This window comes from Homo sapiens, chromosome 9 (assembly GCF_000001405.40).
Source record: "Homo sapiens chromosome 9, GRCh38.p14 Primary Assembly".
Taxonomy (NCBI): domain Eukaryota; kingdom Metazoa; phylum Chordata; class Mammalia; order Primates; family Hominidae; genus Homo; species Homo sapiens.
The window spans coordinates 97,229,842-97,250,966 of NC_000009.12; the positions used below are offsets into that span (position 1 = coordinate 97,229,842).

The window sequence follows — 21,125 nt, forward strand, 5'->3', positions numbered from 1 at the left end:
GGAGTGCAGTGGTATGATCTCGGCTCACTACAACCTCTGCCTCCCAGATTCAAGCGATTCTCCTGCCTCAGCCTCGAGAGTAGCTGGGATTCCAGGTCTGTGCTGCCACTAAGTAGAGACGGGGTTTTAACATGTTGGCCAGGCTGGTCTTGAACTCCTGACCTCAGATGATCTGCCTGCCTTGGCCTCCCAAAGTGCTGGGATTACAGGCATGAGCCACCGCGCCTGGCCAAAATCAGTTATCAACTAATTTTCAAACATGTAACTAGCAGGGGTCCCAGTAATGGGGGGACCATTATTGCATGCTTTGAAATTTGAGGGTCTCATTCTGCTGATTAATGTCTAGGCAGCAAAAAACAAAACAAAAAGCAGTACAAACCAAAAAAGTCTACGATGCCTATCAGGGAATGTTTAAGGTTTGTACCAGTGTTTTTTTTTTTTTACGGTGTGCTTGACACAGAATTTTGTTTTACTTGCTGGGCAGGCTGTGATCTAATTGCCTAGTTGTGACCAATTTTTCCCTAGATGCATAAATTTTTTTCTGAGACTGGCAGACCACTAAGGGTCACCTTGCCAGCCTGTGTACCAGTTAATTAATCCTTACCCAAGAGACTTTTTCTTCCAAGACTTTTTCCTCCAAGACTGTCCTAATAGTTTATTAATTTTTTTTTTTTTTTTTTTTTTTTTTTTTTTTTTTTTTTTTAGACAGAATCTTGCTCTGTTGCTCAGGCTGCAGTGCAATGGCACAATCTCGGCTTACTGCAACCTCTGCCTCCCAGATTCAAGCAATTCTCCTGCCTCAGCCTCCTGAGGAGCTGGGACTACAGGCGTGCCCACCATGCCCAACTAATTTTTGTATTTTTTCTAGAGAAGGGGTTTTTTGCCATGTTGGCCAGACTGGTCTGGAACTCCTGACCTCAGGTGTTCCACCTGCCTCGGCCTTCCAAAGTGCTGTAATTGCAGGCATGAGCCACCACACCTGGCCCCTAATGGCTTTGAAAGGGTTGACTCATGCCCGCCTTTATAGAAAGTAGATTTTGCTCTCAAGAAACATTTAGGGCCAGGCGCAGTGGCTCATGCATGTAATTTGGGAGGCTGAGGCAGTAGGATCCACTAAGGCTGGGAGATCAGGACTGGCCTGGGCTATATAGTGAGACCCTGTCTCTACAAAATACAAAAAAACAAAAAATTAGCCGGGTGTGCTGGCATGTGCCTGTAGTCCCAGCTGCTGGGGAGGCTGTGGCAAGAGGATCACTTGAGCCCAGGAGGCTGAGGCTACAGTGAACTATGATTGCACCACTGCACTCTTGCTGGGGTGACAGAGCAAGACCCTGTCTAAAAATATGTATATATTTTACACTAGTTCCTTATTAATTTTTAAAATATGATTTTCTGCAGAATCCTGGCAATGTCTTTTTTTAAATCTATGGACATGAACACATAACATTCTCACTGATTCTCTTAACATAATTAATTGTATTAATGGATTTCCAAGTGTTGACTCTCACTTGCATTTCTGGCACAAAAGGCAGTGGATTATGATGTAATGTTTCAATGTGCTGACACAATGGCTTCTAATATTTAAAAGTTTACATTTATATTCACACGTCCTATACTTTTGTAATACATGGCTCAAACCAGGGTAAGATCTCATATCACCTTTATGCACCCTTCCTGAAAACTATTGGGAAGATTGACTAAGACTTGAATAGTTTAGGTAGCGTCAGGTTATCAGTTAGTTTACTAGTAGAATTTCTCTCTGGATCATATGAACTTGGTGCTTCTGTGTATATGAGGGACTCTGATAAATGTCTCTGTTTCTTTTATAAATATTATACAATTTAGAATCTCTATTTCTCTAGGGGTAAATGTTAATAAAATATATATTTATAGAATATATAACATCTACATTTGATTGTTAATTTACATTGGAATGCCCAACATTGTTCCCATTTATTTTTCATATCAGTATTTGACTTCAAGTTGCTGTTTGCACTGTAATCTGTTCACATATCCTTCTCAAGTTCCTCGCATGATCCCATTTCTCTGTTCACAGTGAAATAATAGTTTGGCTCAGGAATCTGAGGATTAACAGAAAATTGGGTTTTCTGTAGGGGACCATCTCAGGAAAGCACAGACTCTAGTAAGACGCGTGTGCTCTGCTGCTAGCCCCTCAGTCTAGACTCACCCCTTCCTGCTCCCTCCCTAGGAGCCCCTTCCTGTTGCCTCCAGGGATTATGGAAAGCAAGAGCCTCTGCCAAACACTCTCATCTTGCTAGAGATGCCCACTAGAATGTGGGGAAAAGAAAGCGAGATCAGACTGTTACTGTGTCTATGTAGAAAGAAGTAGACATAAGAGACTCCATTTTGTTCTGTACTAAGGAAAATTCTTCTGCCTTGAGATGCTGTTAATCTGTAACCCTAGCCCCAACCCTGTGCTCGCAGAGACATGTGCTGTGTTGACTCAAGGTTTAATGGATTTAGGATTATGCAAGATGTGCTTTGTTAAACAAGTGCTTGAAGGCAGTATGCTTGTTAAAAGTCATCACCACTCTCTAATCTCAAGTACCCGGGAACATAATATACTGCGAAGGCTGAAGGCCACAGGGACCTCTGCCTAGGAAAGCCAGGTATTGTCCAAGGTTTCTCCCCATGTGATAGCCTGAGATATGGCCTCATGGGAAGGGAAAGACCTGACCATCCCCCAGCCCGACACCGGTAAAGGGTCTGTGCTGAGGAGGATTAGTGAAAGAGGAAGGCCTCTCTGCAGTTGAGATAAGAGGAAAGCATCTGTCTCCTGCTTGTCCCCGGGCAATGGAATGTCTCGGTGTAAAACCCGATTGTATGTTCCACCTACTGAGATAGGAGAAAACCACCTTAGGGCTGGAGGTGAGACATGCTGGCAGCAATACTGCTCTTTAATGCACTGAGATGTTTGTGTATGTGCACATCAAAGCACAGCACCTTTTTTTAACCTTGTTTATGACACAGAGACCTTTGTTCATGTTTTCCTGCTGACCCTCTCCCCACTATTACCCTATTGTCCTGCCACATCCCCCTCTCCAAGATGGTAGAGGTAATGATCGATAAATACTGAGGGAACTCAGAGACTGGTGCCAGGGCGGGTCCTCCATATGCTGAGCGCCCGTCCCCTGGGCCCACTTTTCTTTCTCTATACTTTGTCTCTGTGTCTCTTTCTTTTCTCAGTTTCTCATTCCACCTGATGAGAAACACCCACAGGTGTGGAGGGGCTGGCCCCCTTCATAGAAAATTGTACTTGTTTTTGGTAATTGGTAACTGGGACAAAGTTTCTTGAAATATCTTTAGCTCCCCAAATATGCACTGTCATTGTTGCCGCAGGTGAAATGCTCATTGCAGTGCTGCAAAAAGGTGAGGTCACAGGACACAAACCCATATCTGAGACCTGGATGCCTTCCTCCACGCACTCACCCACTGGCTGTCCTGAGCATCACCCTGCACCTATTGTCACAGCAACAAGGGAAAAATCAGGTGAGTATTTTCTATTTCAGTCTAGAAGGCATAGCCTGCAAAGGAAGGAAGTGTGCTGGGAGATGGAGCAGGGTCTTTTGTCTGGAAAACGGAATTCTGGGCTAGAAACTAAGTCGGTGCCAACGCAATGCAGGGAAGGGGAAATCATCACTGGGTCGTGGGCTGCACTCGTGGAGAAGGAATGGAGGTCAAGACCATAAACCAGCCCCTAACTGCTTCTCATTTAATGTAATCCTCACTGTTCATCATTGTTGGTTTGAATAAAGTCATGAAATCTTTTTTTTTTTTTTTTTTTGAGACAGGGTCTCATTCTATTTCTCAGGCTGGAGTGAAGTGGTGCAATTGTGGCTCACTGCAGCCTCGAATACCTCAGCTCAAACGATCCTCCCACCTCAGCCTCCTGAGCAGCTGGGACCACAGGCATGTGCCACCACACTCAGCAAACTTAAAAAAAATTTTTGTAGAGACAAGCTCTCCCTATGTTGCTCAGGCTGGTCTCCTGGCCTCAAGCAATCCTCTTGCTTCAGCCTCCCAAAGTGTTGGGATTATAGGCGTGAGCCATCACATCCAGCCTATTTTTAAGTTCTCTAATATAATTTGGAAATTAATTTGCCCGCTGCCCTGTCTTATCTGCATGAACATTTCCAAGATTTGTAGAGGTGTTTCTATGACACCTCCATGCCTGTGATCATGTATAAGATGTAGCTGATTGAATTATCTTATTCTGTTCAGAAATAGTAAATATAGTGTTTTCAACAACTCTGTGCATAGAATATACCAAATGGAGACCATAAGTGTGTCATGACAGAAAAAATCTATTGTCTCTTTATTATGGTGAGACTCTTTTCCCTCATTAAATCAGCAAAGAAAAGTAACTGAATTTAGCTTTTTGTGTTAGAAAAAAACATTATGCTCCTCAGCAGTTTTCAGAATTGCATTATTTTTTATCTTTCCTCTTGTTTAAAAATGTTTTCATGTCATCCCCAGGCTCAGTGCTCATTTTGGGTCAATGTATAATCATTACCTCCAGTTTTTCTTGTGCATAATGGACTTGAGTTTTAATATAGTGAACTGTTCTGACATTGAAATACTATATTTGATATTTTCACATTCTCCAGTCCTCACTTTTTTTTTTCTACACTCATGGTAATTTAGTTTCTCCTCTGCAATGCTTTCCCTCCTACTCGTTTTCCTTCTCCCTTGCTTAGCACACGGTCATTCCATTATGCCCTCCTTCTTGGTTAAGATGGAAAAGAACCTCCTCTTTTAATTCCATTTGTGCATTTAAGAAATTCCATTTGGTTGTATATAATTATTCTTCTAAGATTATGCTAAGATCAGACTATCTATATTTTACTTGGATCTCTGATCACTATAGATGATATTTGCCTATAAAACAAGTATTGGTGTTTTCAATCACAATCAAAAAGAAAAAACTCAAAACGATTCTTTTAAAAACTCACAAGAGGTACAAAAATATTTTTTAAATACATGGATTGTCTTAAAAATTATTTCTCTCTGTTGCTACGACAGCATAGTGGTCAAGTCCATTGTCAGCTTCTGACACTGCCTCTTACAAGGAGGTGACTTTGGAAATGTCATTCAGCCTTCCTGTGCCTGAGATCGCCTCACCTGTCAAATGGGAACAATAAAGCACTTCAAAGAATTGTTGTAAAAGTTCTATGTAAAACACTATTATAGTACTCTTATGCTAGGAATATATATCTATACACACATATATTTTTATAGTGAAACTCTCAGGAAGAGGAAAATGAAGTTTAATAGGAAATTAATGGCTTGAAAACAATGGTAAGTGGGAAAGAGTGGCTTTCAGTTGCCATGGTACGACAGGCCTCTTGTTTCCATGCCAGATCCTCTCACTCTGAATAGGATGATCAGTCATTGAAAAAAGACAAATGGCCTCCAGGGATGTGGCAATAGGAATATGATCTTCTTATCTCAGACCACAGTAGGATTCCTGGGCAATTGCTTTCTTCATCACCATTATAGTTATTTATTTCACCAGATGCACATTAAGGTCCACAGATCTGATTCTGCAGCACCTGACTGTAGCCAACTCCTTGGTCATTCTCTCTAAAAAATGCTCCATATCCTTGTCAATGCTTGGTATTGGAAATCCTTTTAATTTAAGTCATTCTGGTGGTAGTTTTGGTATCTCATTATAATTTCAATGTCCATGATACAGCTATTTTTTTTTTTTGAGACAGAGTCTGACTCTGTTGCCCAGGCTGGAGTGCAGTGGTGCCATCTCACTCACTGCAACCTCTGCCTCCCAGGTTCAAGTGATTCCTGTGCCTCAGCCTCCTTAGTAGCTTGGATTATAGGTGTGCACCACCAAGCCCAGGTAATTTTTGTATTTTTAGTAGAGATGGGGTTTTGTCATGTTGCCCAGGCTGGTCTCCAACTCCTGGCCTCAAGGGATCCACCCACCTCGACCTCCCAAAGTGTTGGGATTACAGGTATGAGCCACTGCACCCAGTCATGACATAGCTATTAATATAGAACTTTTCATGTGGGCCTATAGGTCAATCTAGGAATTCGCCCTTTCAGAGGCTATTCATATTTATATGCATATTGGTGCATGGCAGGGGTTGGTGTATACACCTTGGTGTATGGCTGAGCCATAACTGGAGCATACCTGAGAATTACCCTATTCTAAGTGTGTTTGGAGTCCCAGGCTAAGGAATCCGGGAGTAGCCAACACTGAGATTCACTACTTATCTATGAAGGACAGCCATATCCCTGCCCCATCCCTTGGAACACAGGCTGTACAGGTGATCGAGGCCCTTTGTTTTGGGTTAAATGGAGATTGCTAGAAGGAGGGTTCTAAGTGAAAATGCTATATGCTATATGGACTACATGCTTTTTTTTTTTTAATACGAACGGTAGTATTTCTCCAGGCCAGCCCACCACCACTGGACCACCCCTGTATATAACTCCTGAAAAAACCTTGTTTCCTTCACTGGTTCTGCCTCTCTTACAGTGCCATCCCAATCGGAATCAATGGGGATCCGGAAGGACAATTGGCCATTTAGATAACATTTGAAAATTAACCAATGTAATTGGTTACATTGTAACATTATTATTAAAATATTATTTTAAAATTATTATTATATAACAGTAACATATTATTATTAAAAATACATATGAACATTTCAATAAAGGCAGAAAAAGCACTTGATATTGAATGCTTTCCTCTTGATTTTACAACCAAGACAAGGAAGTCCATTATCACTATTTCTATTCAATAGTGGACATACTAGCCAGCAACAAAACTAAAAGGTATAAAGATTACAGGAAAGTTAAACCATCTCTATTCACAGATTGGAAGATTGTAATCACATAAATTCCAAAAGACTCTGTAGTCTTTTTGTCCCTTACAAATAATAAGGGAACTTAGCAACATGCTTGAATATAACATCAATATGTAAAAATCAATAGCATTTCTATATTCTTACAACAAACGAGAATATAAAAAAATAAAATGCTATTTAACATCGCATTTAAAACACTGCTCAAGAATAAATCTAATGAAATATATGTTTGATCTCTATACTGCAATCGATCCAAGCACAACTTGGATCCAAACATTAAGATATAAATATGTGTACAATCTACAAAATATTACCAGGAAAAATTAGAGGCCACTTAAATAAATGGTGGGAAATAATGATATTAATGGATTGAAGGACAGTATTGTTAATATACTAGTTTTCCCCAAACAGATCTACAGATCCAACGCAAGCCCAGTACAAATCCTAGCAGTTTTGTTTTTTTTTTAAACTGACAAGCTAATTCCAAAATTCACCTACAAATACAATAGCCTTAGAATAAGCCAAAGCAATCTTGGGAGAATAAAGTCACAGGACTTCAAGACTTATTATAAAGCTACATGAATTAACACAGTTTGATAGTGGTATAAAGTTAGAAAAAGACCACTCCCTCCAGCTCCCCATTCTGCCCCCATCCCTGGAAGGCGCTGGCAGCTTTCCCCATCCGATCTGCATGGGTCAAAGGGCGCTGACGGAGGGCCTGACCGACCGGGATGGGAAACAAAGCGGCCCTGAGATCACTTTCGGTCTAGGAAGCCCACTAAGAAGAAAGCCTGGGCTGTGGAGTTATGAGGAAGGGAATGAATAGTACACGGGGGCCAGGCGCGTCTCCCCAGGAACCAGAAGGCCTTTAGCTCTATTAGTTCAGAACGACTTCCAGCGAGTCCCAGCCCTTTTCCATTCCCAGCGCAACGATCGCCGGAATCCAGGCGCCATCCAGGCCCCTCTGTTCCCTGAAAAGACCACGCAGCCTCCAGTGACATCACGGAGACGAAAGGGCTTGGCCACCTGTGGCAGCCATGATAAAACCTAGGGAAAACGGAGCTCGAAGTAGCTTATTTTATTTATTTTTTATTTATTTATTTATTTATTAAGGAGTCTTGCTCTGTCGCCCAGGCTGTGGTGCAGTGGCGCGATCTCGGCTCACTGCAACCTCTGCCTCCCAGGTTCAAGCGATTCTCCTGCCTCAGCCTCCCCAGTAGCTGGGATTACAGGCGCCCACCATCACGCCCGGCTAATTTTTGTATTTTTCGTAGACGGGGTTTCAGCATCTTGGCGAGGCTGGTCTTGAACTCCTGACTTCGTGATCCACCCGTCTCGGACTCCCAAAGTGCTGGGATTACAGGCGTGAGCCACGGCGCCCGGCCTGGAGCTTGTGTTACTAAAAGACATGCAAACGCCCTTAACCGCTAAGCTCCTGAGGGGTAACGGTATGCTACAAAAGTGCTTCTGAGCTACTACTCCTGGAGGCTTGGTCCGAGTGACCGCAGCAGTGGGCGCGGTGGAAGAGAAGGAGAACGTGTTGGCCCGGGCCTCCATAACCATGGCTGCTAGGGGCGGGGACTGGGAGCGCGGGTCCCGGGACTGGGAGCGCGGGTCCCAGGCCAGGGTGCGGGCTGGGAAGACTCGGTCCTCCACTGCCCCAGCAGGCCACGCGCCCGCGCGTAGCCTCCCGCCCCGCTAGCAGCACGCTGCGTGGCTGCTCGTTGGCTACTTACGACGGAAGCTCGGTTGGGGTTTCTGCAGAAGTTTCCCCCTTGGGCGGTGGCGGAGCTGATAAGCGCGCTAGTAGCAGCTCTGGCAGAAGCAACGGTGGCTTCGAGGGATGGCGGCGGCTGCAACAGGACCTGCAGCATCCCAGAGGTGCGTGTTTTTCCTTCCCTTTGCTATTTATTTTATCCCCTTTCCTTGGCTAGTGGGTCCTGCTGAAGTCGTTGTTTTCCTGAGAGGTTTTTTCCAGAGCTTCTCAGATGCTCTAATCCACTGCGGCGTTAGAGGTGAGAGAGCCTTTTCTGCTTCCTCCACCCCTGGCTGACGCGCCTCCTCCCAGCAGCACCTGATTGGGACCCAGGGTCCTGTGGTTACTGCGTGTCCGCCCCAGTATTGAGATTCTCAGTCTCCTCGCGTTACCTCAGACTCCTGTCTTGCCCTTTCCATTTCCAGACTCTTGCATTCCTGCACTTCTGAGAAAAACCTCCTCCATTTATTGGGAACATGGTTGACAACTGTAGTTGGGCTGAAAGGATTTTTTTTTTTTAATGGCAGTTATGACTAGAAGAGAAAAGTGGACTCTGGGCTCGATGAAAATTAATTTTTTCGTTTGACATCATTGTTGCCATTCTTATGTAAAAGTGCCGGTATGAAGTCAGTCTACTGGAACAAAAACCTTTTCCCTCACGTCCCTGAAACTTTCCAGATGTCTTGTCATAGTTCATTATTCACTCATTTGTTTATTCATCAAAAAATGTTTTAGGAGTTGCTGTGTGCAAAGGCGCTGATTGCTATGGGTTAGTCTTAGTTATATACTTAGCTAACCAAGAAATCACTTCTTGCAGGTGTGCAGTGAAGACAAACTATAAAGCTGTAAAGGAATGTAAAAGAGCAAGAGTTAAATAATAGGAGTTAAAGAAGAGCCTAAAGATAAATGATGCTGTGGGTCACAGAATTTAACCAGGAGGTTTTTGTTTTTCATTTTGTTTGTTTGTTTTTTGCTTTAAAGCACATAAAAAAGGACACCCTGTTTTGTTGTTATAATCTAACATAAGTAACGTTAACAATTTGAGGCAAGACGGCGTCTTTTCTAGCTATGGCTTTTATAAGAAATGTGCCATAGGGTGCTGGAGCCTCTGTTAAGGTGATATTTGAGCAGAGACCTGAAGAAGCAAGAGAATTCGCTTAGAAGTTCTGGGGAAAGAGCATTCCAGGCAGGACCAAGAGCCAGTGCAGAGATCCTGAAGTAGGCATGAAGTTGGCCTGTGTATGGAGCAGCAAAAAGGCCCTTTTTATTAGAGGGCCCATTTGATTAGGAGATAAGGTTGGACAGGAAACTCGGAGCCACGTCCTGTATGGCCTTTTAGGGCCCAGGTATGTTTTTTGAATCTAAATATATAGACCTTTAGATACCAGCAATAAGGCTTCTGGGATCAGTTTTGGGATAATGTTACAGGAAGCAGTGAAAATTTTTCTCTGTAATTTCTTATATTAGATAGCTATTACTTTGAATTTACATTTCTTAATTGTCATGTTAGGGCTAGTGCATCCTTTGGAAATCCAGTTTGTATAAAAGTTGCTTTTAGGCTCAACGCGGTGGCTAATGTCTGTAATCCCAGCACTTTGGGAGGCCAAGGAGGGTGGATCCCTTGAGGTTAGGAGTTTGAGACCAACCTGGCCAACATGGTGAAACCCTGTTTGTACTAAAAATACAAAACAAACTTTAGCGGGGTGTGGTGGTGTGGATCTGTTGTCCCAGCTACTCAGGAGGCTGAGGCAGGAGAATTGCTTTAACCTGGGAAGCAGAGTTTGCAGTGAGCTGAGATTGTGCCACTGCACTCCAGCCTGGGTGACAGAGTGAGACTCTGTCTTAAAAAAAAAAAAAGTTGCTTTTAAAGAATATTAATATAATAAACTTCATTGTCACTTTCTATCTTCTTTTACTTATTAATTTTTTTTTTTGAGTCGGAGTTTCACTCTGTCATCCAGGCTGGAGTGCAATGGCATGATCTCGGCTCACTGCAACCTCCGCCTCCCACGTTCAAGCGATTCTCCTGCCTCAGCCTCCCAAGTAGCTGGGATTACAGGCGCACACCACCACACCCGGCTAATTTTTGTACTTTTTAGTAGAGATGGGGTTTTGCCATGTTGGCCAGGCTGGTCTCAAACTCCTGATCTAAGGTGATCTGCCTACCTCGGCCTCCCAAAGTGCTGGGTTTATAGGTGTGACCATGCCCGGCCTTAAATTTTTTATTGAGGCATATATGACATACGTAAATAACACAAATTTTAAGTCTACAGTTTGATGAGTTTTTAGATACGTGTACACCACCCAGATCAAGATATAGAGCATTTCCATTCATAAGGTTCCTTCATGCTCCTTCCCAGCCAGCAGTTCTTCTTACTGTCCTGCTGACTACTGTTTTGACCTCCATCACCATCTGTTCGTTTTGCTTGTTCTGGACTCATAAACAGAATCATATAGTAGGTGCTTTGTTCAATGTACGCAGTCTGTTTTTGCTTTAATCATTCCATGAGTATACATCCATATTGTGTGAAGCAGTAGTTCTTTTGCATTGCTGTGTAGTATTCCATTGTATAATTGTATAAATATATGTTGTATAAATGTAAGTATAGCACAATTTATTCTAATTGGACGTCTGGTTTATTTCTAGTTGTTAGCTAGCATAAATAAAGTTTCTGTGAGTACTCTTTTGTGTATTTTGGTGAACACATGCATTTCTTTCTTTTGATTGTATATACCTAGGAGTAGAACTGGATAGAATAGTCATGTGGTTAGCACTGGTACCTTGGTTTTTAATGTGTGGCTCTTGGGCCAGCAGTAACAGCATGACGTGGCAATTCACTAGAAGTGCAGATTCTTATTGAAAGTCCTTATGGGCCTGGCACGGTGGCTCACACCTGTAATCCCAGCAGTTTGGGAGGCTGAGGCGGGTGGATCACCTGAGGTCAGGAGTTTGAGACCAGCCTGGCCAACATAGTGAAACCCCGTCTTTATTAAAAATACAAAAAATTAGCTGGGCCATGGTGGCAGGCGCCTGTAACCCCAGCTACTTGGGAGGCTGAGGCAGGAGAATCACTTGAACCCAGGAGGTGGAGGTTGTAGTGAGCCGAAATTGTACCATTGCACTCCAGCCTTGGTGAGAGAGCAAGATCCCATCTCAAAAAAAAAAAAAAAAAAAAGTCCTTATGACTCATGTAGTCCAGTACTTCTTACTCTTCCTTTTCCCAGTGTACATAAGAAAGCAGACCTTGCTAAGCGTGGTGGCTCATGCCTATAATCCTACCACTTTGGGAGGCTGAGGTGGAAGGATCACTTGAGACCAGGAGTTCGAGACCAGGAGTTCAAGACCAGCCTAGGCAACATAAAGAAACCCCGTTTCTTAAAAAGTAAACAGAGATTCAAATAAATCCAAATGATCTGTCATAGAGACACACCAGTTACAGGCAGAAGGGGGGGGCCTTAGGACACAGGTTTTCCAAATTTTAGTCTAGTGCTATAGAACAGTGGTCCTCAAAGGTGTGGGCTCCAGATAAGCTGCAGCATCAACATATTAGAAATGCAAATTATTTATTTATTTGAGATGGAGTCTTGCTCTGTCGCCTAGGCTGGAATGCAGTGGTGCAATCTCAGCTCACTGCAGCCTCTGCCTCCCAGGTTCAAGTGAGTCTGCCGCTGCCTCCCAATTAGCTGGGATTACAGGCGTGTGTCACCACACCCAGCTGATTTTTGTATTTTTAGCAGAGATGGGGTTTCACCATGTTGGCCGGGCTGGTCTCGAACTCCTGGCCTTAAATGTTCCACTCGCCTCAGCCTCCCAAAGTGCTAGGATTACAGTGTGAGCCACCATGCCTGGCCCTAGAAATGCAAATTCTCAGGACCCACCACAGACCCAGAATCAGAAACCCTGGGTGTGGGGAGGATGATCATGATAAGAACCAGCTGTGTTAAGAAGAAATGTTCTTTTTAAACTGTGAGATGACCTCACAAAGATGAACAGGTCAATGTAAATTATTAAATAATTGGTAATGATAAGTAGGGCCGAAACTTTGATGATGAATGTGAGTGTATTTCTCCTGGATTGTCCCAAGGGCTACTTTAACAGGCATTTGGGATTCAGGTCACTTGGTATCATGTGAGTTAAAATGTGTATATTTGATATAAGGTCATCCAATTAGGAATAAAGGGGAATGTTCTTATCACATAGGCTGTTTCACATTTTTCATTCATTCAACAAAGAATGAACATTAAGTGGTGAATGTTGTACTGGAAATCAGGAATCTAAGGATGGATAAGCTTCAGTGAGTGAGTTTTCAGTCTAGTGGAAAGACAAGTCAACAGATCATTAAAATATAAGGTAACTACTGTAATGGGGTTGTGTATAAAATGAGCGTAGCAGAATAGAATCCGACTGAGGGAGTTAAAAACTTTACAGAGGAGGTTGCAAAATTCAGTAGGGAGAGAAAACGTGTGAATTTTGAGAATCGTTCAGGGCCCAGTGTGTGTGGTGGTTAAGAACCCAGGCTCTGGAGTCAGAGACTCTTGGGTCAAAGTTCTGGTTTCATGATAACGGTGTAACTTCAGTAAGGTTCCTGTCATCAGTCCAGAGCAGATTTCTCATCTGTCAAATGGGAACAAATAGGACCTACTTGAAAGGTTTATTTTGAAGATAAGTGAGGTACCCTGTATCATATGCTTAGTACAGTGCCAGGCACATGGTAAATACTACATAACTGTTCTGTTTGGGGAATAATACAAGTTGTTCAGTAGTATTAGCACATAAAATGTGAGGAGGCAAGTGCTAGGAGATAAAGGTTAAACAAGTGGAGAGAGGCCAGGCCATCAAAGGCATTAAATCTCAACAGATGGTTTTCAGTTTTATCATATGATCATGGAGACCTGTGAAGAATTTGGAGGAAGGGAATGAAATTTTCTGAATTACAAAACCTACTTTAAAAGCAGAGTAGATAATGAATTGGAGGAGACACAAGGGATAGTGGATAGCAGGAAGATGGTGGTACAGACCAGGTCAAAGATGAATATCTGCATGCAGGGCAGTGATTGTGGGCATGGAGGGGAGTTGTTTTATGTAAAATGCACTGGACTTGGTGATGATTGGAATATAAGGGATGACTCCTGAGTTTCTGGCTGGGGGAATGTAGTAGGAATTGGTGCCTTTCACTTAAATAGCACCTAGGATGATAGCACTTAGAAGACTGCATTCAGCATGGGGGAATAGGTTTGAAGGGAGGAATTAGTTTTAGATTTTGAATATTTGTATTTGAATTGCCTCTGGGACATTTTGGGTGAAGTCTAGAGAAAACTATGCTGATATTGTACAGGAGCACTGTCTAGGCTCTCAAGATAGACTTGAGTCATCAGGATGATTCAAGACATATGTGAAGCCTCCGACACCACTTAAAGAGTCAAAGAATGTTTCTAAAGGGGAGGAAGTCTAAGTACTGAGCCCAAGGGAAACATTAGGTTTTTTGTTTTTTGAGATGGAGTTTCGCTCGTCACCCAGGCTGGAGTGCAATGGCATGATCTTGGCTCATTGCAACCTCCGCCTCCTGGGTTCAAGCGATTCTCCTGCCTCAGTCTCCCAAGTAGCTGGGATTACAGGCATGTACCACCATGCCCAGCTAATTTTTGTATTTTTAGTAGAGATGGGGTTTCGCCATGTTGATCAGGCTGGTCTCGAACTCCTGACCTCAGGTGATCCAACTGCCTCGGCCTCCCAAAGTGCTGGGATTACAGGTGTGAGCCACTGCGCCCAGCCCGGAAACCTTTGTTTTTAAAAAGCAACAGAATGGTAAGCCGAAAGGTCTGGTTATTGTCAGGGGCCACAGAGAGATCAAGTCAGATAGGAATCAGTTGGATTTGATAAGGGGTTACTAGTGGCTCTGAGAAGATTAAGACTAGAGAGGCAAACATTTTTATATTTTGTGGCCAAGGAGATGTGGTCAAATTAGAGATTGGGGAAAAGGTGGAAAAAGTCTGCAAGGAGAGAAATCAATACTTTTCATTGAGTGCCTACTGGATGCCAGGTATAGATCTAAGTAAGCCCCAAATCCTGGAGTGATCTTCAATTTTTCTTATCCCACATTGGCAAGTCTTGCTGGCTCTAATATATTCCAGCTCATTGTATTTCTCTTCATCACCTCTATGGCTAACATCCTTTTCTAGCCTAGACTTAATGTATTAGTTTCCTAAGAAGTCTGTGTTTCCAGTCCTGATTTGTTATAATGTATTCACCATACAGCAACCAGAATGATATTTGAAAAGAGTAAATTGGACCATTTCTCTCTCCTACTAACAATGAACTTTCCATGGCTTTCCATCACACCTGAGGTCCAAATTCCTTATAACAGCCTGCAAGGTACAAAGTGAGGCCCTTGAAGTAGCATCTTATAGCTTCTTTGCTCTCTTAGTTTGAGCCACACTTTGTTTCTGTTGATTGAATGCAACCCCAGGTGAGTTGAGGGGCATCTGTATTCATTGCTTGGTGAGAGTTATCTATTAGGTTAAAGCAAAGTCAGTGACACATGTGGCTATTGAAATAATTTTACCATTTAAGAAAACTACCAAATCCCTAGAGTTTGTAGGTAGTTGGCAGAAAATAAAAGTGTTCCTGTGTTCCTGCATCTGCCCTTGATCTCCCTAATTGTATAATCTCTTACATCATTATTTTTCCAGCTACCACACCTATATATTATGACTGCACAGGGTGAAAAAGTTTTAATCTCTCTAATGTTAACTCTTGATCAGTTGCCATAGCCATCTATTAGATTATATCTCGGCTTTGAACAGGATGTTTAATTGCATTTTATTAATTTTATTAGAGTTGTGTGCTATTGATAGAGGATAAGAGAGGGCCAGGTAAGCTTGATGGTGTAGATATTGATTGTCTTAACCTCCCTGAGCTCTAGATTTAACTTTTAGTCTTTCTTTATTGGACAGCTTCACATTTTCTAGGAATTTCAAATTCCATATGATGTTTGAATCTTCTCCAAGTTAGAAGGAGAAAATCTGTAATGGTCAATGCATATCAGTTAAACTCTTCAGAATATGTGAGGTGATAATAATTACCATTTATTGAGTTCTGTAGGTCAGGAACTAAATGCTTTTTTTTTTTTTTTTTTTTTTTGAGATGGAGTTTCACTCTTGTTGCCCAGGCTGGAGTGCAGTGGTGTGTTCTCGGCTCACTGCAACTTCTGCCTCCCAGGTTCAAGTGATTCTCCTGCCTCAGCCTCCCAAGTAGCTGGGATTGCAGGCATGCGCCACCATGCCTGGATAATTTTTGTTTTTTTAGTAGAGGTGGGGTTTCACCATATTGGCCAGGCTGGTCTCGAACTCCTGACCTCAGGTGATCCGCCTGCCTCAGTCTCCCAAAGTGCTGGGATTACAGGCATGAGCCACCATACCTGACCCCTAAATGCTTTACAGTACAGAAATACTATGTTAGATTGTCTACTTTTGGGAGGAGGGGCAGCAGAAGGGGAGATCCTCTTATGAGGAAAAACTCCAAGATTACCTCCCTGTTATCTTTCCTCCAAATAGTTTCTGATAATAAGTTATTTGTTTAAAAATTATGTTTTAATTAGAATTTGATGGCTTTTGAATACCTTTTACTGACACTCAACATGTTTGTTTTTGTAGGAACTGACTAAGGCTTTGGAACAGAAACCAGATGATGCACAATATTATCGTCAAAGAGCTTATTGTCACATTCTTCTTGGGAATTACTGTGGTAATTTTTCTTATAAAGTATATTGCCCCTTTTTAATAAGTTACTTATACATTTTACCCATAACCAATTAATCAGATAAAATAAAGGTTGTCTTTGAGGATTTTTGAGTTGGTCTTTCATACAAGGTAAAGTAGCTCAAGTGTGACAGATATGTTGAGCAACACCTATTTAAATTTTATGGATGTCTCTTCTTGCTTCAGTGGGTGGATAATGTATATAGGTTTCATTCATAGTTACTGAGTAGGCTGATAAAGAATAGTATCACATTTACTATTTGACAGAGTATTAAAATGAAATGCTCTTCTTTGTATTTTTTTATAAAAAAGAGTGTAGTGTGGCATGGTGGCTCACGCCTGTAATGCCAGCACTTTGGGAGGCCAAAGCGGGAGGATCACATGAGCCCAAGAGTTCGAGTCTAGCCTGGACAACATAGCAAGACCCTATCTATATTAAAAAATAATGTATTCCTGTACTGTGTAACTTTAAAAATTATTCTGATGAAGAATCTGGATAGGGAAAAACTGAATTTTTTTTTTAGATGGAGTTTTGCTCTTATTGCCTAAGCTGTAGTGCAGTGGCACGATCTCAGCTCACTACAGCCTCTGCCTCCTGGGTTCAAGTGATTCTCCTGCTTCAACCTCCCAGGTAGCTGGGACTACAGGTGCATGCCACCATGGCTGGCTAATTTTGTATTTTTAGCAGAGACGGGGTTTCACCATGTTGGCCAGGCTGGTCTCAAACTCCTGACCGCAGGTGATCCGCCCACCTCAGCCTCTCAGAGTGCTGGGATTACAGGCGGGAGCCACCGCACCCGGCCAAATTACGTAAATGATGCTAATGAGAAAAGGAGATGAATTTTGTCACACAGCTTTATTCACTGACCGAAGAGCTTTAAGAAGGAAGCTAAATGTTAAGCCAAAAGGAAGGTACAAGAGTAATATTTATTTGAATTCTGTGTTGGATTAGCTTTTCCTAATTTAAAACCATCTGGTGTTTCTATCAACTCGAAAACTTAGAAATCTAAAACTGATCCGTATTCCGTGTATGTTTGCTAGAATCTGTAAATAACTGACAAAAAACCATCTTTTTCTTTTTTTCTTTTTTGTTTTTGTTTTTTTTTGAAACGGAGTCTCGCTCTGTTGCCCAGGCTGGAGTACAGTGGCACAATCTTGGCTCACTGCAACCTCTGCCTCCCAGGTTCAAGCGATTCTCCTGCCTCAGCCTCCTGAGTAGCTGGGACTACAGGCATGTGCCACCATGCCCAGCTAATTTTTGTATTTTTAGTAGAGGTGGGGTTTCACAATGTTGGCCAGGATGGTCTCGATCTCTTGACCTCGTGAACCACCTGCCTCGGCCTCCCAAAGTGCTGGAATTACAGGTGTGAGCCACCAGCACCTGGCCTGGCTTTGTTTTTTCTAATGGAGAAATGAGAGTTTGATTTGCTTTCTTGGTCAGAAGTCTGTTCATTTTAAGTTATTAAGAATGCTGAGATGGGAAATCTTAACAATAAGGTTTTTATGGAGAAGTGAAGTGTACATTTGGATAAATTATGAGAGAGTACAGAAGAAACCCAGAGTTTTGAGAGTATTGTTAGTTTTTAATGTTATATTTTTGAGGGGAATATATGAAAATTATCACAGCATTGTGGATATTTAGACATATATAGGAATTGTGAGAGCAAGAATTTTAAAATCGGAAAAATACTAAGACAGAGGTTATGAGTAATCCCAGAAAATTGTAGACTACATAGTCCTACTTGTACTATTATTTTATCTTTATGTTATGATAGAGTTTTATCACAATTCTGTAAAGCAGTGATTCTTAACTGGAAGCAGTTGTTTCCCAGGAAACTTTAGGCAATGTTTGAAGAAATTTTTTATTATCATGAATGGTGGATGGGGGAGGAGCTACTGACATCTAATGAGTATAAACCAGGGGGTACTACGAAACATCCCATAATGGCCAGTACAGTCCTGCCCAACAGAGAAGTATCTGGTTCAAAATGTCAGTAGTGCTGAGTTAAGAAGCTCTGCTCTTACGTATTATATGTTAAATTCTTACTCTGTACTGCTTTGAATGTTTGCTTTTCTGCTGTATACCTATTCAAAAAAGAGATTTTAGGCCTGATTACACAAATGGAAGCTACAAATTAGGAAAGGAAAGGTCTGGGTGACAGGGCTTATTGTCAAATTTGCTTATCCCAGTTTCAGTTTTGGTATGTGAATAATAGGGCTATTCAGTCAGGAAGACAGCATATCTACACTCCTAGCAAATTCCAGAGTCAAGTTATCTAGTGCCTTGATACATACTTGAAAACCCTGAAAAAACGTGGGTCATACCATGCTCTACATTTTCTTTTTTTTTGAGACAAGGTCTCACTCTGTTGCCCAGGCTGGAATGCAGTGGTGTGATCTTGGGTCACTGCAGCCTCCGCCTCTTGAGCTTAAGTGATTCACCCACCCCAGCCCCCCAAGTCACTGGGGCTATAGGCACGTGCCACCACATCTCACTAAATTTTGCTTTTTTTTTCCGCAGAGACAGGGTTTCGCCCTGTTACAACAGCTGGTCTTGAACTCCTGGGCTAAAGCGATCCACCTGCCTCAGCCTCCCAAAGTGTTGGGGTTACAGGCGTGAGCCTTTATGCCTGACCTCATCCTCTACATTTCTAGGCCTTATTACTTTTAAGAGCAATAGAAAAGTTTCCTGCCTAAATTCCTTTCTTTTTTTTTTTCTTCTTTTTGGACCTGGGGGCACAGAGCCTTACTCTTTCACCCAAACTCGAGTGCAATGGCACCATCATAGTTCACTGCAGCCTTGAATTCCTGGGCTCAAGCTGTCCTTCTGCCTCTGCCTCCTGAGTAGCTGGGAATACAGGCATGTACCATCACACTAAGCTAATTCATTAAACATTTTTGTGTAGAGATGAGGTCTCGCTACATTGCCCAGACTGGTCTCTGAACTCCTGGCCTCAAGTGATCCTACTGCCTTGGCCTCCCAAAGCACTGGCATTACAGACATGAGCCACAGCACTTGGCCCCTAAATTCTTTTCTTGAGTTTTCTTTCCTTTCTTGAGTTTTCTTTCCTTCCTTTTTTCCTTTCTTTCTTTCTTTCTTTTTTTTTTTTTTTTTTTTTTTTTTTGAGACAGAGTCTCGCCCTGTCTCCCAGGCTGGAGTGCAATGGTGCATGGTGCATTCTCGGCTCACTGCAACCTCTGCCTCCCGGGTTCAAGTGATTCTCCTGCCTCAGCCTCCAGAGAAGCTGGGATTACAGGTGCGTGCCACCACGCCCAGTTAATTTTTTTATCTTTATTAGAGATGGGGGTTTCACCATGTCGGCCAGGCTGGTCTCAAACTCCTGACTTCGTGATCCACCCGCCTCAGCCTCCCAAAATGCTGGGATTACAGATGTGAGCCACCGCGCCCGGCCGAATAATATCTTAATATCATGCCATTGACATTTATTCTCTAATTACTTCAGAGGTGGCCTTCAGAAGAAGGCCTCTTTGGTAAAATTGCTATTGAGGATATTTCACTAAAAAACAAATTTATCTTTACATTTAAATCCAGGAAAAATTTAAGTTAAACTTTTAGGCTTCTATTTTTATCAGACAGGGTAAAAAATTTATAACTCAGAATATTACCTTTTCCCCTCTTTGTATGTTAGACTGCCTGATTTTAGTTACTGATTATTTAAAATAATAAGTTATTCAAACCCTCTTCTCTAGAATATAGTGTATGTGAGACAGTATATTTAAAATTTTTATTAAGGCCCATGTAGTTGTATTTCTTTTATAAATTAGTAAATTAGAAAATTTTGTTTTAAGAGATTTTTAATTTAAAATTTCCAGATTACTCTTGGCTGGAGTTAACTTGAATTAGTAGGCTTTTATTTAGAGTACTCTCGATGTTTTTAACGTATTTCACTATGCACTGTGTATAGATGTAATCGTTGTTCTGTGTCTCCAGAAGTGAATAATTTGTTTACGCCTACATTTACACTATTATCTGTAAGTATATAATTTATCACCTGTAGCCTCTTGACCCCCATGTAACTTGGATATATGAGAAAACTTCACAGAATTTAAAGATGCTTCTTGGTGTTGGTAGGAAAGGGATGGGAACAGATAAAGCCACTGAGAGAATAGTGGACTGAATAGGTAGCTGCATTGAAGAGTGAGCTGGGGCTGGGAAAGGCTTAAGGACCTCAACTCAGCTCCCAGTTACCAAGCCTCCTCCCCACCCTAACTAATGGCATTTTGGGAGTCTGATTTAGATCTGACTTTGTTGTGTGTATGAGGAAGCTTCTCTAAGGGCAGAGGGATTGAGGGAAATGTGCATTATTTATATCTATGAAATTAGTGAGGTTTACTGTAGTTAAAATTAATTTAAAAAAATCAAAATGTTTCAGGATAAACAACCAAGTGTTAAACTATTGGTATGTTTATAGCTATAACAGAGTTTGCCATAAGTTCTGTTAAGACAGGTTTTATTCACTGCTGACTCCCCAGTGCCTAGAACAGTGCCTGGGATGTAATAGGTATTTAATAAGTATTTGCTGATTAACAGGTTGTGCAGATGAGTGATGTGATAGGTTTTTCTTTCTAGGTGCAGATGCTAATTTCAGTGACTGGATTAAAAGGTGTCGAAGCTCAGAATGGTATGTAGATCTCCCATGGTATTTCAATTTAAAAAGAAGTAAACATTTGAAATTTTTTGGTTTAAACAAATTTGTTTTTACCTTTATAATTTATTTTAAATAATACATGTTTCCTTAAATGTA

The 21,125-nt window shown here is 41.9% G+C and overlaps 2 long non-coding RNA genes and 4 pseudogenes across 6 annotated transcripts in view, besides 5 other annotated features; 5 read left to right on the forward strand and 1 right to left on the reverse strand.

Moving 5' to 3' along the window:
• The window catches only part of ANKRD18CP (ankyrin repeat domain 18C, pseudogene), an 82,850-nt pseudogene extending 73,949 nt beyond the window's left edge, over positions 1–8,901 (reverse strand). The window contains exon 1 of the transcript NR_136286.1: positions 8,582–8,901. The product of NR_136286.1 is annotated as an ankyrin repeat domain 18C, pseudogene (transcript). The remainder of the gene's footprint in view (positions 1–8,581) is intronic.
• Positions 55–5,176, forward strand: LOC124902224 (uncharacterized). Its single transcript, XR_007061684.1, has 3 exons — positions 55–95; positions 3,361–3,510; positions 5,044–5,176. It is a non-coding gene; the product is annotated as an uncharacterized LOC124902224 (long non-coding RNA).
• Positions 2,319–2,916: an enhancer, noted in NCBI's record as "NANOG hESC enhancer chr9:99994442-99995039 (GRCh37/hg19 assembly coordinates)". NCBI's record gives its function as "activates a minimal SCP1, AML or CMV promoter by ChIP-STARR-seq in primed H9 embryonic stem cells {active_cell/tissue: H9 hESC(primed)}" and the evidence as "EXISTENCE:reporter gene assay evidence [ECO:0000049][PMID:30033119]".
• VN1R52P (vomeronasal 1 receptor 52 pseudogene) lies at positions 5,427–5,612 on the forward strand (annotated as a pseudogene).
• Positions 7,993–8,818: an enhancer, noted in NCBI's record as "H3K27ac hESC enhancer chr9:100000116-100000941 (GRCh37/hg19 assembly coordinates)". NCBI's record gives its function as "activates a minimal SCP1, AML or CMV promoter by ChIP-STARR-seq in primed H9 embryonic stem cells {active_cell/tissue: H9 hESC(primed)}" and the evidence as "EXISTENCE:reporter gene assay evidence [ECO:0000049][PMID:30033119]".
• Positions 7,993–9,040: a biological region, named in NCBI's record as "Sharpr-MPRA regulatory region 7929".
• SUGT1P4 (SUGT1 pseudogene 4) lies at positions 8,458–21,003 on the forward strand (annotated as a pseudogene).
• The window catches only part of SUGT1P4-STRA6LP-CCDC180 (SUGT1P4-STRA6LP-CCDC180 readthrough), a 138,870-nt gene continuing 126,329 nt past the window's right edge, over positions 8,585–21,125 (forward strand). For all 3 annotated transcript variants that reach the window (NR_036528.1, NR_036527.1, NR_036529.1), the window contains exons 1-3: positions 8,585–8,726; positions 16,255–16,345; positions 20,951–21,002. This is a non-coding gene — a long non-coding RNA (SUGT1P4-STRA6LP-CCDC180 readthrough). The remainder of the gene's footprint in view (positions 8,727–16,254; positions 16,346–20,950; positions 21,003–21,125) is intronic.
• The window catches only part of SUGT1P4-STRA6LP (SUGT1P4-STRA6LP readthrough), a 58,889-nt pseudogene continuing 46,348 nt past the window's right edge, over positions 8,585–21,125 (forward strand). Inside the window, exons 1-3 of the transcript NR_036526.1 lie at positions 8,585–8,726; positions 16,255–16,345; positions 20,951–21,002. The product of NR_036526.1 is annotated as an SUGT1P4-STRA6LP readthrough (transcript). The remainder of the gene's footprint in view (positions 8,727–16,254; positions 16,346–20,950; positions 21,003–21,125) is intronic.
• Positions 8,746–9,040: a silencer, noted in NCBI's record as "tiled region #7929; HepG2 Repressive DNase unmatched - State 1:Tss, and K562 Repressive DNase unmatched - State 1:Tss". NCBI's record gives its function as "represses a minimal TATA promoter and a strong SV40 promoter by Sharpr-MPRA in HepG2 and K562 cells {active_cell/tissue: HepG2 | K562}" and the evidence as "EXISTENCE:reporter gene assay evidence [ECO:0000049][PMID:27701403]".
• Positions 8,827–8,986: an enhancer, noted in NCBI's record as "active region_28657". NCBI's record gives its function as "activates an Ori minimal core promoter by ATAC-STARR-seq in GM12878 lymphoblastoid cells {active_cell/tissue: GM12878}" and the evidence as "EXISTENCE:reporter gene assay evidence [ECO:0000049][PMID:35858748]".